The sequence below is a fragment of the Homo sapiens genome, chromosome 12 (genome assembly GCF_000001405.40).
Source record: "Homo sapiens chromosome 12, GRCh38.p14 Primary Assembly".
In the NCBI taxonomy this organism is placed as follows: domain Eukaryota; kingdom Metazoa; phylum Chordata; class Mammalia; order Primates; family Hominidae; genus Homo; species Homo sapiens.
The window spans coordinates 11888969-11903206 of NC_000012.12; the positions used below are offsets into that span (position 1 = coordinate 11888969).

A 14238-nucleotide genomic window follows, 5' to 3' on the forward strand; every position below is an offset into this window, starting at 1 on the left:
GACAACTAGATTATAAGCTCCTAGAAGGTAGAGGATTCTATTTTTTATCATTCTATATTAAACCTTTCAGTTAATGCTTATTGACAGCCTGGTGTGGAATATCAGAAGCTTAATATGGGAAAGTCGTCAAAAGAAGAAAGGGGTGGTTTGGGGGGCCAAGCATAGGACATCTGTGGAGTTGGCTTAGAGGGGCTCTTTATTGACTTCGGATGTGGAGGGAGAAATTTTAGTTAGGGGATAAAAGAGGAGAAAAACTGCAGATGCTACAGATCATACTGCTGGAGAAGTTTGCCAGTAATGAGCAGGAAAAGCAGTAGTAGCCAGAAGATTGATAGGCTTCCAATAAAAGATTTTCAGTAAGAGAAAGGAATAGTGCTATTAGTGAGGGAGAGATTAGTCCATTTTGAGGAAATGAATGTTAGAAGCCAGACTTGCCACAAAATGAAGGTTTCTTGGTATAAGACCTAGTATGTAATCAAGTGAGGTGTTGAATTGTAGATACTCTTTACAAGATGTTTGAGTGTTGAAGAAGATGGAGGTTTAAGTGTTGAAATCATGGACTAGTGCCATTAAGCAGCTCTTTGATGAGGAGACAGAACACAAAGAATGAGTAGGACTCAACTCGTGAGAAGAGTCAGGAGGGCTCCAGATAAGGGAAAAGCTAAAGATACATGGGAGAGCATGCGCCATGATTTATACAAGAGCCAAGACCGCTAGACTGCATTGGGTTCATACTGATGAACAGTGGAAAATAAGAGCTTCCTAGGTAAAGATGGCAGAAAGACCCGATGAGCAGAGCAAAGGATGCACCTTTGACTTGATGAGTGGTCATTTTAGGCTTTTGCATGTGGAGGAATGAGAGAAAATGTAAGCTCTAAGATAGTGGCGCAGGGCAGAGTATATGGGGAGAGAAAGGTGTGCAGGCACAGAAGGGGACTGGAACGGGTGCTCCTACAGTGTAGGTGGAACATCTGCAACCAGGCTGCCTTCCTGAGCCATGTAAATTATGGTCAAAACATGTCACTGATGTCACTTCCAGTTTAACCCATTGAACAGGAAGATGAGGCTTGCTGTACACCCCAGTTGCAAAGGTAGACAGACTAAAGAGGGTTCATTGCTGGCATTTTGGGTGAATCAGTGATAACATTGTAAAAGATTTTTTTTTTTTTTTTTTTGCCCTTCCAATTTTCCAGAAGCTCCACTAAGTTGTCCTATTGTCAGCATTTTTCACTTAACATTTAACTATATCCTTTGAAATTTAAGTAAGTTTTGAATACCATTTCCTGGGCTCACAGTCTGGAATGGAAGTGGATATACAGCTCTCATGAGTCTGTAAAATCTAATTCTGTAAAAGAAAGAACATATATACATGGTCTGGACCAAGGCTTTCTCGTGTGGTCATGCATTAATGCACCACGTGATCCCAAAGGGTGCTCACTACGTCACAGACAGCCTAGACTTTTTTTTTTTTTTCCAATAATTAGGATTTCACTTTGTCACCCAAGTTAGAGTGCAGTAGCATGATCATAGCTGACTGCAGCCTTAACCTCCTGAGCTTAAGGGATTCTCCCACCTCAGCCTCCCAAGTAGCTAGGACTACAGGTGCACACCACCGTACCCAGATTTTTTTTTTTTTGGTAGAGGTGGGGTCTCGCTATGTTGCCCAAGCTGGTCTCAAACTCCTAGGTTCAAGTTATCTTCCCAACTTGGCCTCCCAAAGCACTAGGATTATATGCATGAGCTACCATGCCTGGCCCTAGTCTTTTTAAATAAGCATTTTACCACTTTTTAGACAGTCAGAGAAAGGAGTACCTTTTCCTAATTTGCACTAAGTTAACATTAATCTCGGGGTTCAGTAGCTCTCCAGCTGTATAAGATGATGGAGTCTTTCTTTATATACAGGCTAGAGTTCAGAGTGAAGACAGCTTTAGGAAAATGGAATCTCTTACCTCCTCCACTTCTTCTTCCAAAGGTTTATGAAAACCCCAGATGAAATCATGAGTGGCCGAACAGACCGTCTGGAGCACCTAGAGTCCCAGGAGCTGGATGAACAAATATACCAAGAAGATGAATGCTGAAGGAACCAACAGTCCACCTCAGCGGGCCAGCAGCCCAGGGAACCCCTGCCCACCAGGATTGCTGGAAGTGTGACGGAGCAGGCGGGCTGAGGAGAGTGGAAAAGGAAGCGACCCAGAAATGGCAGGGACACTTCTCTTGCAGACCAAGAGGGACCCTGGAGCACCTTAGACAAACTACCCAGCACAGGCGGGGCTGGAATTCTGGCGGAGGGCATGAGCCTGGGACTCCATGTCACGTTTCCTTCTGATTTGGAATCTCTCCATCTGTAATTCCTCACCCTCACCCTTCCACCGTTGTTAGTATCATGGTGTTTTTGTTTTTGTTTTTGTTTTAAGAACCTGCAGTTTGACTCTTCATCGTTCATCTAGGGGAAGACATCTGATGTTGTTTTCCTATGGAAATATATATCTATTATATATATATTTTTTGCAAATCTCACAAAGTGCGGCAAGCCCAGCTGGTCAGGAAAGAGAATACTTGCAGAGGGGTTCAGGTTCCTCTTTTTCCTGCCACGTGGATCAGGTCTGTTCCTGTTACTGTTGGGTCTTGGCTGAAAAAAAAAAATGCTTTTAAAAAAGATAAAATGAAAAGGAGAGCTCTCTTTTTCTCTCTCTTGCTCTGTTCTTCCCTTGGTCCCCTCTGTCCTCCCGCCCTGCCTGCAGTTGAGATTCAGATGCCTTCTGACAGAGTTCAGCCTCTTGGAGAGTCTTGGGGATTGTTGGCACCTAAACAGAATCAGTGACCCGGGTGCTTTGTGGCCAGCAGCACAGAATCAAACCCGCATCCCAGCATTGGGCCACCCATCTGAGGGAGGCCAAAATCATCACAGATGCTGCTGTGCTGCAGACAGATACATGCTAGTCCAGAGAGCCGCCCCTGAGATGGCTGTGAGAACCATGTGTCTAAGGCGTAAGATAAGGATGGAAGGCTGTCCAAGTTATTTGGAAGGCCTCGGCAGCTTGGGATTAGCTTGGGAGCGCAGCGCTGCAAAGTGGAAAATATGAAAAGACCACACAGGCCCAGCAGTCCAGAAACTGGGCAAAAATATTCTGCAGTGGGGATTTATTTTTCCAAAGCAGGTAACAGAGGCTAGTGAGAAAGAAAAGCTCCTCTCTGCTCCATTCCAAAGGCCATCTTGTGGTCAGTTTCATGCCCTCACCTGATTTTTTTTTTTTTTTTTTTTTTTCAATTCCTAACCTTTTTTAAAGTTTCCTGGTCTCCACTGGACACAGAGCTTTGGAGACGGAGGATCCCAGAGGGCAGTCTCAGTTGCAATCAGTGTGTGCCCAGCCTGGGCAGACAGGAAATTCCTCGGATACATTATTTTTTCTTTCTTTCATAGCTGTGTCTCAGAAAGGACCCATTTGTGGCTCTTTTTCACCTCAAAATAAGATCGATGGTATCTTGTAAAATGAGGGTAGTGCCACTTCTTAGTATTTTTGAAAGCTGTTTTAGATTTTTTTTTTTTTTCCTTTTCTAGCCATCTAAATTGACTCTTCCAATATAGGTCTCAGAAATCCAATATTTGGAGTACAATTTCTTTTAATCCAGATTACACCTGCCTTACAAAGCACCCCCTCCTTGTTCCCCTCTGTTTCCTCTACTCAGTTGGGGGAGAAACTCACAGCTCCTCCGGGATACATATGTGCCCTCAGCAGCAGCTCCCAGGTGAAGTTACCAGACCCCTGGGCTTCTCCCCAGCTTTTTCTGAGTTGAGTCAGACATGTAGAGTTTGGGTCACACAGGCAAGAGGAATTTTCCCTCGGCCTTACTGACAAGGACACCAACCTAGGGTGCAAACAGATGGACTATGGTTCAAGGACACTGGAATTGAGGAGCTGATCAAGGCTCTCTTCAGCCTTGCTCTGTCCCTGCCTCTTATCAGAGCACAGGTAGACACACGGGCATAGCCAGCCCACTCCTACTGTCACAGGCGCCCCACCATTCAACCTTCCGGGAGGTCAGGGACCTTCTATATGAGGCGAGTGGGTCTCAGTCTGCTTGAATGGTGATGAGATTCTGCTGGATCTCAGCACGCTGCAGGTGTCTTTTGAGAGCATTCAGTAGGACATGGTGATCCCTATTTCAGCCTCTAAGATGACTGGTATTCTATCTGAAATGCAGAGATTAAGCCAAATACCTGATGTATTGTGAAAGCCACTGATTTTAAGAATGGAGAGAAAGGGATTTTTTACTGCATCCCTCTGTATGAATATGAAATCAGAGACCAGGGCATGATGTTGCTAGGATTAGAGCCTCTCAGTCTGGCCTCTTCACCCAAGTGCAAGAACTCAGTCTCTTACTGTTCAAAGAATCTTAACAGTTGAATTATGGAGGGAAATTCCCTTTTGCCCCAAGCATTTCTATATTTAAAGCAATATCCCAGGAGAATATGTTAGACTTAGGATGATACCTTCAGCCACTTGAAGAAGAAATAGAAGGCGCTCATTCCAATATAGTCTTTATTTCCCATTCAGATACAGGTTGAGCATCCCTAATCTGAACAGTTAAAACCCCCAAATGCCCCAAAATCCAAACCTTCCTGAACGCTATGACACCATGAGTGGAAAATTCCACACCTAACAAACACATTTGCTTTCTTATGGTTCAATGTACACAAACTGTTTTATATAGAAAATGATTTCAAATATCATAAAATTACCTTCAGGCTATGTGTATAAAGTATATATGAGCCATAAATGAATTTTGTGTTTAGACTTTGTGTCCATCCCCAAGATCTCTCATTTTATATATATATATATATATATATATATATATATATATATATATATATACACACACACACACATACACAAATATTCCAGGATACAAAAAAAAACATTTAAAAATCCGAGACCCAGAACACTTCTGGTCCCAAGCATTTCAGATAAGGGATATCAATCTGTACTACCAATAAGGATTTCGTAATTCCCCTAACTGCAAATGTCCTCTTCATTTGTTCTTTATGAGAAAACCCGGGTAGTGCCAGCACCTGGATACAGTATTTACACCCTGCAGACCCTAAAGATTTCAGATTCAGTTAGCAAACCTTGATGAAGCACCTGCTGGACACTGAGGGACCCAAAGCTCAATCAGCCATAATCCCTGCTTTCAGAGTTTATATTGTACCTGCCTAATCCACCCGGCGTGACTCATTTCAACACTAAGTACTAGGGGTGTTGTCAGGAGACAAATCTGAAGTCAGGAGAGGAAAATGCAAAGGAGCCCTGCCGTGTGATGGATGTGCATTCTCACTTGGGTCTTGAAGTTCTCATTCCTACATCTCAAGCTAGCCAGGCAGTCTCCTCTCTATCAGAAGAAAGCACTGGTAATTGGCTAGACTGGCTATGTTGAAGGTAACATGAACTCTAAGATCTTGACCCAGGGCGACTTGGTTTTGCTTAAGGTGGCATCACCAATGTTCCAAATCCTTTAGGGAGATGAGGGTATCCCCACAGAAAAAGAGGAATAATAGACCAATGGATTTTCTCCTTTCACCAGTATGTTTGGAACCCTCTGATCCAATGTCTTTTGATACTGATCTCTTGTCCAAATGAGAATGTCGCTTTAGCTGAAATTCAAATGGCTGTGACAATTTACCGAAATGATGAAGTAACCACCATTCCCACCTTTCACTGCCTAGGCTCCAAGTCTGAATACATTTTTGAAATAGGAACTCCCTTTTGCAAAAAAGAAACCTGGGTGTCAGGGAGGTGAAGTGACTTGCCCTAGGAGCAGACAGCATGCCAAGAATGGAATTAGGCTCAGGATCCAGCCTGGGCTCACCCTGTGTGGCTCATTCCCACCCAGGAAACTGAAGATAAAAGATTTGGGAAAACACACCAAGAAAAAGGGGCAGTTTTCTTTGCCCAAGCATTTGGTGCTAGTTAGAGGCTGTTCACTCTCTCCTGCTCCTCTTCGGAGTAGAAATAAAGGCTGTGACACAAGGAAGCCAGTGGGGTGGGAGGGAGGCACCATAATCCCTCCCTAAAACCCACAGAAGACTAACCTGATACTCTTTTGACCCAACTGCATCAACACTAAACAGCTGCAGACCCCCTGAATCTTTCACACATGCCAAGTGAACATTCTTGATGATTTCTCTTTGTGACCGCAACCACCTGCAAACCAGAACGACTCTAGAATTTCCTTCCCCGCCCCCCTTTTTGTTTAGTTTCTAATCTCTTGTTTATGAGGTGTGGGGTTTATAAGGGACTGAATCAAATGAATGTAACAAAAAAGAAAAAAAAAACAAAAAAAAATGCCTTTTCTCAGGGCCAGTGAGTTGCAAATAATTTTTAAAGAAAAGCCTATAATTACATCATCTCAATAAATTTTTTATAAAAAAAAAAAAACCATGAAGTCCAGAGTCTCTGTTTTTAATAATATGAAATGGAGTCAGACAAGGTGCTCCGATGAGGTAAATCCTGTCTCCACTCAATTATGGTATAAAGGGCAATCATGGTTTTTCTCTGGCAGCAAGTCTCCGCTGCAGGGCAGTCTGCAGGCGATCTTTAGACAAGTGGTACCGGAAAGGTCAGAGTGAACCATTCCAAGCTGAGCAGCTGCCACAGGTGGAAGAATTACCAAGAGGAACCGTGATCAGAGATGCTTGGGTCCCATGCTGTGGTGAAGGTTTATTAGCTCACTGAGAACTTAGCAATGCCAGGTCCTCACACAATAGAATTGCCCCTTAAATCTGCTGAGATCAGAGGTCTAAGCCTACCAGGTGATGAAGGCGTAAGGGCTGGGATAGATCCTATGACTAAATACAGGACTGTAATGACCTAGAAGGTCATCACACAGCTCAGAGCCAGCCCACATGCTCAGAATGTCCCAGCCAACCTGACCAACAGAGCCACCCACCAACCAGTGGGCACTTGGGAGTTCAAGATCAAACATTCTGCACTTGACCAGAACTATCTGCCATCAGAAGTGGGTGGAAACAAGGGGAAGAATGGAAGAGGAAGCAAATGCATTGCTGTTGAGCAAATTGGGCGGAGGTTCAAAATGTCTAAGAAATCAGCAGTCTCAGAAAATGTTCTTAGTTTACTTTTGTCTTTAGGTTAACCCAGTTACTCTGTATCCCCTGAGAATGATTGCTGAAATTTGGCCCTATATTCTGTATGATCAGAGCACAGTATCAAATAAGGGTCTAGATATTTTTTTTGTGGTGCTAAAAATGCATTCGAAGCTACTATTTCTATAATGCAGCATTAGAGAACTTGCTAGAAATGCAAATTATCAGTTCCCACCCCATAAACTGAATCAGAAACTTTGGAGCTGGGACCCAGCAGTATGTTTTAACAAGCACTCTGGGTGATTCTGATGCACACAAAAGTCTGAGAGTCACTGCTACCAATTTCTTCATCTTAGTATGAAAGAGAGCTTGTAGCAATTTAAACAATAAACTCAAAATAATTGATGACAACTAATTTGCATCAATAGTACTCACACACAATAACGCTGCATTTTCCTAATGGTAGATATACTGTGGAATGAGGCTAAGTGGACACAGAATCACATACCAAAGTCATCGTCTTGTTTTCTCCAAACCTTTTAAGCAATCAGTTTGCTGTAAAGATGAGCTGTTTTAAAGGGTAACTCTTAACAGCTGACCTGCCCTTGCAAATTAGAGCACAGCAATTTATCCACTTATGCCCACTTATCTGCCTAACCAGCCTGATCTAAAAAGAAAAATAAAAGGATTATTCTCATCTGCTAACTGACCTTGGCTGTCTGTCCCCGGAATTATTAAACAGAGCCTGGATGAGCATTTAGCCAGGGCATTTGCAGAGGACTCTAGAACCACTGGACTAGACCAGTGCTTCTCAAACCTGAAAGTGCTTATGAATCATCAGATCTCAGGGAAAAAAGCAGATTTTGCTTCAGTAGTATCTTGGGAAGTCTGGACAGAAGATCTGTTCTTCTACCCTACTCTCTGGGTGGGGCTTGAGGTGCTGCACTTTTTTTTTTTTTTTTTTTTTTTTTTTTTTTTTGAGACAGAGTCTCACTCTATCGCGCAGGCTGGAGTGCAGTGGCACGATCTCGGCTCACTGCAAGCTCCGCCTCCCGGGTTCAAGCAATTCTCTGCCTCAGCCTCCCAAGAAGCTGGGATTACAGATGCCTGCCACTACGCCTGGCTAATTTTTTCTATTTTTAGTAGAGACGGGGTTTCACCGTATTAGCCAGGATGGTCTCGATCTCCTGGCCTCGTGATCTGCCCGCCTCAGCCTCCCAAAGTGTTGAGATTACAGGCGTGAGCCACCGCACCTGGCTGAGGTTCTGCACGTCTAAAAAGCTCCAGGTAGTGCTGATGGTGCTGGTCCAGGGACCACACTGAGTAGTGAGAAGACAGTCTCCCTTCAGACCCTGAAATGCTAACTGTGATGCAAAACTGACCGAACCCCTCCCTTTGTTGTTTTCCTCTGCTAATTCCTCCCTAGAATGGTCCCTGGGCCCAGTCCTGCTCTGTGAGAAGTTTGCTTGTTCCCTTTCAGGGCAGCATCAAGAGTAAACAACATGATCAAAAGCCTCTTCACCAAGTGAAGGAACAGCTATTCATGTACTGGACCTTCATACAGACATTCATAACCAGATGCCTCATGGTCATCATTCTTATGGGAAGCAATGAGAATTCCAAGCATCACTGCCTCTCAGCCTCTAGAAAGACCAGTCTTGGTCACTGAAAGCAGACAGAACACTAACAATGCCATTCTTGATGTTCTAAATGGCATAGATAGGATGGATGAGCAGATCTTCCATGCAAACAGTCCAAGATGCTGACATTAAAATCAGATAATCCTGTTTGTTAGTACTTAACAGATTCACTGTTTTCTTATTTTTTTTAATTAAGGCCTTCAGTCTCTGCCAGATTAAGATGATAGATTTCTGTTAGTAAAAACCACTGAGGAACGTCTGCTTAATCTCTTCTGAGACAATAGAAGACTATTTCCTCTCTCCAAACCCTCTCAGCAGTGGCCTTCTGGAGTCCTCTGAGATGTTCATGCCTTTTCCCTCAACCAGAATTTTGGTCATGAGATCCCATATCAGACCATCCACCTGAGTTGACCTTTGCTTCCTCCAGTGCCTCTGGGAGAGCTAAGTGCTATCTCGGTGCCCCAGCTGCAAGCACTTCTATAAAAGCAACTAAATGCCTCCATGCAGTGAATTGCTCATGTGCCTCTGTCCCCTACTAAAGCTCTCTAAAGGTAGAGTATTTTATGCACATTTTTACTACCAGCCCCTTGCATGGGGCTGGCACAAGGTATATGTTAATAAGTGTTTTAAATGGGAGTGAAGTCAGAGAAACTCTTTGTGACCTTAATTTAGGCAAAGATTTCTTGAATATGACACCAAAAAATCCATAAAAGAAAAAAATGGATAAATTGGACTTCATCAAAATTAAAACTTGCTCCTCAAAACACACCATATTCAGAAAATGAAAAGATAAGTTACAGACTGGGAGAAAATATTTGCAAGTCATTTGATAAAGAACTTGTATCCAGGATAAACTTCCACAACTCAATAAGATGAATAACCCGATTTTAAAATGGTCAAAAGATTTAAACAGACATTTCACCAAAGAATTTATAGAAATGGTTGTTAAGCACACAAAAAGATGCTCAACATTATTAGTCACTAAGGAAAGGTAAATTAAAACCACAGTGAGATAACAACTCATCCACAAAAGGCTATAATAAAGACTGTCAATACCAAGTGTTGGCTAGGAGGTGGAAAAACTGGAACCCTCATACATTGCTGGTGGGGATGTAAAATGGCACAGCCACTTTGGACAACAGTTTGGCAGCTTCTTAAAAAGTTAAGCATAAATTTGTCATATCCAAAAAATTTCACTCTGAAGTATCTTCTCAAAGAAATGAAAACACGTCCACACAAAGACGTATACACAAATATTTAGAGCAGCATTATTTTACTTTATTTTGAGATGGGGTCTCACTCTGTTGCCCAGGCTGGAATGCACTGATGCAATCACACCTCACTGCAGCCTGAAACTTCTGGGCTCAAGTGATCCTCCCATCTCAGCCCCCTGAGTAGCTGGGACTACAGGTGTGTGCCATGCGCTGGCCAACTTTTTTTTATTTTTTGTAGAAACAGGGTCTCGCTATGTTGCCTAGGCTGGTCTTGAACTCCTGGGCTCAAGCGATCCACCTGCCTCAGCTTCCCAAAGTGCTGGGATTACAGGTATGCGCCACTGCACCCGGCCCAGCAGCATTATTCATAATAGATCGCTTCTGTAATCCTATCACTTCGAGAGGCTGAGGTGGGATGATCATTTAAGCTTAGGAGTTCAGTGTGGGCAAAATGGTGAAACCCCATCTCTACAAAAAAATTTAAAAATTAGCAGGGTGTGTTGGCAAACACCTGTGGTCCCAGCTACTTGGGAAGCTGAGGTGGGAGGATCTCTTGAGCCCAGGAGATTGAGGCTCCAGTGAGAAGTGGTCACACCACTACACTCCAGCCCGGGTGACAGAGGAAGACCCTGTCTCAGGAAAAAAAAAAAAAAAAAGGCTGGGCGCAGTGGCTCACACCTGTAATCCCAGCAACTCGGGAGGCTGAGGCAGGAGAATCGCTTGAACAGGGAAATGGAAGTTGCAGTGAGCCGAGATCACGCCACTGCACTCCAGCCTGGGCCACAGAGCAAGACTCTGTCTCAAAAAAAAAAAAGACAAAAACCAGAAACAATCCACACATCCATTGACTGGTGAATAGATAAATAAAATGTAGTAGATCCAGGCAATGGAATACTATTTAGCAACAAAAAGGAAACAAACCATTGATACATGCAATAACATGAATGAAACTCAAAAACATATTCAGTTATATAAAATTTCCAGTAAAGGCAAATCTATAAAGACAGGAGGAGATGAGTGTTTACCTGGGGATGGAGGTGGGAGTGGGGATTGAATGGAAACAAGCAAGAGGGAACTTTTGGAGATAATGGAAATGTTCTAAAATTGGATAGTCATGATGGTTGCATAAATCTATACATTTACTAGAACTTATTGAACTGTACCCTTATAAAGAATGTGTTTTAAGGTACATAATTTTACTTCAAAAAAGCTGTTAATACAAAAAAAAAGGAAAAGAAAACAATCTACATAAATCAATTCACGCTGGTTGTATGGTAAGTGGGACTGTCTTCAGGAGCTGCACATAGGACTCAAATAAAGGAATTATAGAAAAATATACTAATAATGTAATATACTAATAAAAATGAAACATTAAGAGAAATTATGACAGCAAGAAATCAATTACATTCTGTTCATCAACCAACCTCCCCAGGGCTAGGCCTCTCAACAGTCCAGGAAGTCTGAGTAAACCACGGCTCTCTCAGAAATACTTTAAACTATGGACACCCCAGAAGGAACCCCAGAAACACACAGCCCTTGATGGCCACCCCCTGCCAGCATCAGGTGGCTCCAGGCAGTTGTATAGACAGCGGCCCTAATTTGAACTGGTAGCCTAGGATATTGGAAGACCATTTGATGCTGAGACTCCAAGTCATAGATTCTTAAAGCTACACAGCAACATAAAGGCCATCTGAATCAGTAGGTGTTTGTTTGTGTTATGTGTGGCCCCAGGGCTTCCCAAAGGGGATAAGGAGCAATGGGGGAGAAATGCCTCAGGAATGAATCTGGGAGCCTGAGAAGGACCCAACTGAAATCAGACGATGGGAACACCAAGCAGGGAGATGGTTTAACACACCTGTGGGCTATTATTCTTCAACTATGAAATTAACATCTATTTAGTTGGGGTGAAGAGCAAATTATTTTTTACTCACAAAAATGATGAGACTTTTAGCCAGGTGTGGTGGCTCATGCCTGTAATCCCAGCCCATTGGAAGGCCAAGGCAGGTGGATCACAAGTTAGGAGTTTGAGACCAGCCTGGCCAACATGGAGAAACCCCATCTGTCCTAAAAATACAAAAATTAGCTGGACATGGTGGTGCGTGCCTGTAGTCCCAGCTATTTGGGAGGCTGAGGCACGAGAATGGCTTGAACCTGGGAGGCGGAGGTTGCAGTGAGCCGAGATTGCATCACTGCACTTCAGCCTGGGTGACAGAGCAAGACCTTGTCTCAACCACAACAACAAAAAATGATGAGACTTTTATGTACAAAATAAGAAATGCATTATATGCACTGAAAATATCATTACATTTTTACTTTATCTAAAACTATCTCAAAAGATAGTATCTTTCCATTCATAACAGTCATGTATAAAAGATGGAGATATATTCCATGTCTACTATAATGCAAAACATCTTCAAAATGTGTTTTAAAATGATTTCCTCTGTCTGTCATGTTGGTAAAACGTTTTTCACTGTTCTGTAGTTCATATTCCCTCTTCTCTTTCCTTTTATGAATATCTGAACTAGGCAGCCTCTTGGGAAGTGTATGAAAGACTTCTAAAATTAGATAATAAAATAAATCACTCATTCCTGATAAATAGCATTACACAGTCAATCATTTTGTCTCAGAACTTTAGCCTATTGCTACTGTAGGGAAAACTTTTTGAGGCCATGGTCTCAGGACCAGGGGAACAGCCTGCAATCTCAGCACGTGCTTTGCTATGTGGGGAGCAAAGCTGTCATCAGAGATAGGGCAGTACTAGAAAGGATGTTGGTTTTGTCCACCCGAGAATTCTGTCTGATGGACAATGTCTGAACGTCAATGTCCAAATTTCATTTTGCCAGTCACATCAGGAATTCTAGACAGAGACTAGAAGTTCATTGGTACCAAGTTTCTGCTTTATGCCCTTCTGATTTAGTGTGCCTGACATAGGCTGGTGCCCAACACAGCTGGCTGGCTGGCCTGAGAGCAACAGCACAGGACACTTACACAGGTGCAGTCTGCAGTCAGAGTGCCCGGATCCAAGTCCCACACCTGCTGTCACTAGCTATGTGACCTCAGGCCATGAACTTAACCACGCTGTGCCTCAGTTTCCTCAAATGCAAAATCGGGATGATGATAATGATAGTGCCCACCTCAGAAGGAAGGTTGTGGGGATTAAAGGAGGTATTACAGAGAAAGTGCTTAGGAAAGTGCACAGCACATTCCATATTAACTGCTATGACTTCTATAATTAAGTCTGGATCTACTGAGCCACCAACCACTGCTTCACTCAGAGCAGCTCTGCTTTTATCATTTCTACACATTGGGATTCCACCAAAAGACACCTTCTCATAAAAAAGTTTCCATGGTTTTTGTTTTGTTTTGTTTCAGTTTGAACATCATGGAAGGATTACAACCCCCTCACTTTACAAATGAAGGGTCAGAGGCCCAGCGGGATGAGGGGCTACCCCGAGTCCTCCCACACCCTGGGGTTGTCTGAGCCTGGGCCCCCGCCTGGCATTCTCACTTCACCTCCCTTCATGGGGCCACATTCTCAGTCTCGAAGAGCACCTGAGTGCCCAGTGATATTTATTTGTGCCAATGGACTCAACCCAAGGGAAATATTGGCTTGACTCAGGTTTACGGAGAATATTTTGATCTGGTTTTGTTCCAGTTCAATAGCTTTAGGAAATGTGTAGGTTTCGTTCTATTTAAAATCAGTACGCCAAACTCTTTGATTTTGTTTTCTCTTTCTTTTTAAGAAAGTCCTGACTCAGCTACCCTATGCACAAAACTATATTATTTGGGTTCAGTTTTGGGGCTAGGAAATTTGAACACCACTTCAAAAAGGAGCCCTGAATGTGGAGAAGCCACATCACTAGGCCCTAGAAGTCTTGCCGTTTGAGGAACCAGGGGATCAAGCTGTGAGAATCTCCCAACCATCTTGCTCCCTGCTGGACTCTTGCTTTTTTTTTTTTTTTTTGAGACGGAGTTTCACTCTTGTTGCCCAGGCTGGAGTGCAATGGCACAGTCTTGGCTCACTGCAACCTCCGCCTCCCAGTTTCAAGCGATTCTCCTGCCTCAGCCGCCCAAGTAGCTGGGATTACAGGCACCCGCCACCACGTCCGGCTAATTTTTATATTTTTAGTACAGACGGGGTTTCATCATGTTAACCTGGCTGGTCTCAAACTCCTGAACTCAGGAGATCAGCCCACCTCAGCCTCCCAAAGTTCTAGAATTACAGATATGAGCCACTGCGCCCAGCCTTTTGCTAGAAAAGGAAAAGGTGCACATGACCAGGTTG

At 43.3% G+C, this 14238-nt stretch overlaps 1 protein-coding gene across 11 annotated transcripts in view, besides 1 other annotated feature; it reads left to right on the forward strand.

Annotated features, from left to right (window-relative positions):
- ETV6 (ETS variant transcription factor 6) overlaps positions 1–6409 on the forward strand; it is a 245704-nt gene extending 239295 nt beyond the window's left edge. For all 11 annotated transcript variants that reach the window (XM_047428502.1, NM_001413914.1, NM_001987.5 and 8 more), the window contains one exon: positions 1973–6409. In XM_047428502.1, coding sequence (XP_047284458.1) covers positions 1973–2078 — 106 coding nt within the window. In that variant the 3' untranslated portion in view covers positions 2079–6409. The remainder of the gene's footprint in view (positions 1–1972) is intronic.
- Positions 13258–13337: an enhancer, noted in NCBI's record as "active region_5998". NCBI's record gives its function as "activates an Ori minimal core promoter by ATAC-STARR-seq in GM12878 lymphoblastoid cells {active_cell/tissue: GM12878}" and the evidence as "EXISTENCE:reporter gene assay evidence [ECO:0000049][PMID:35858748]".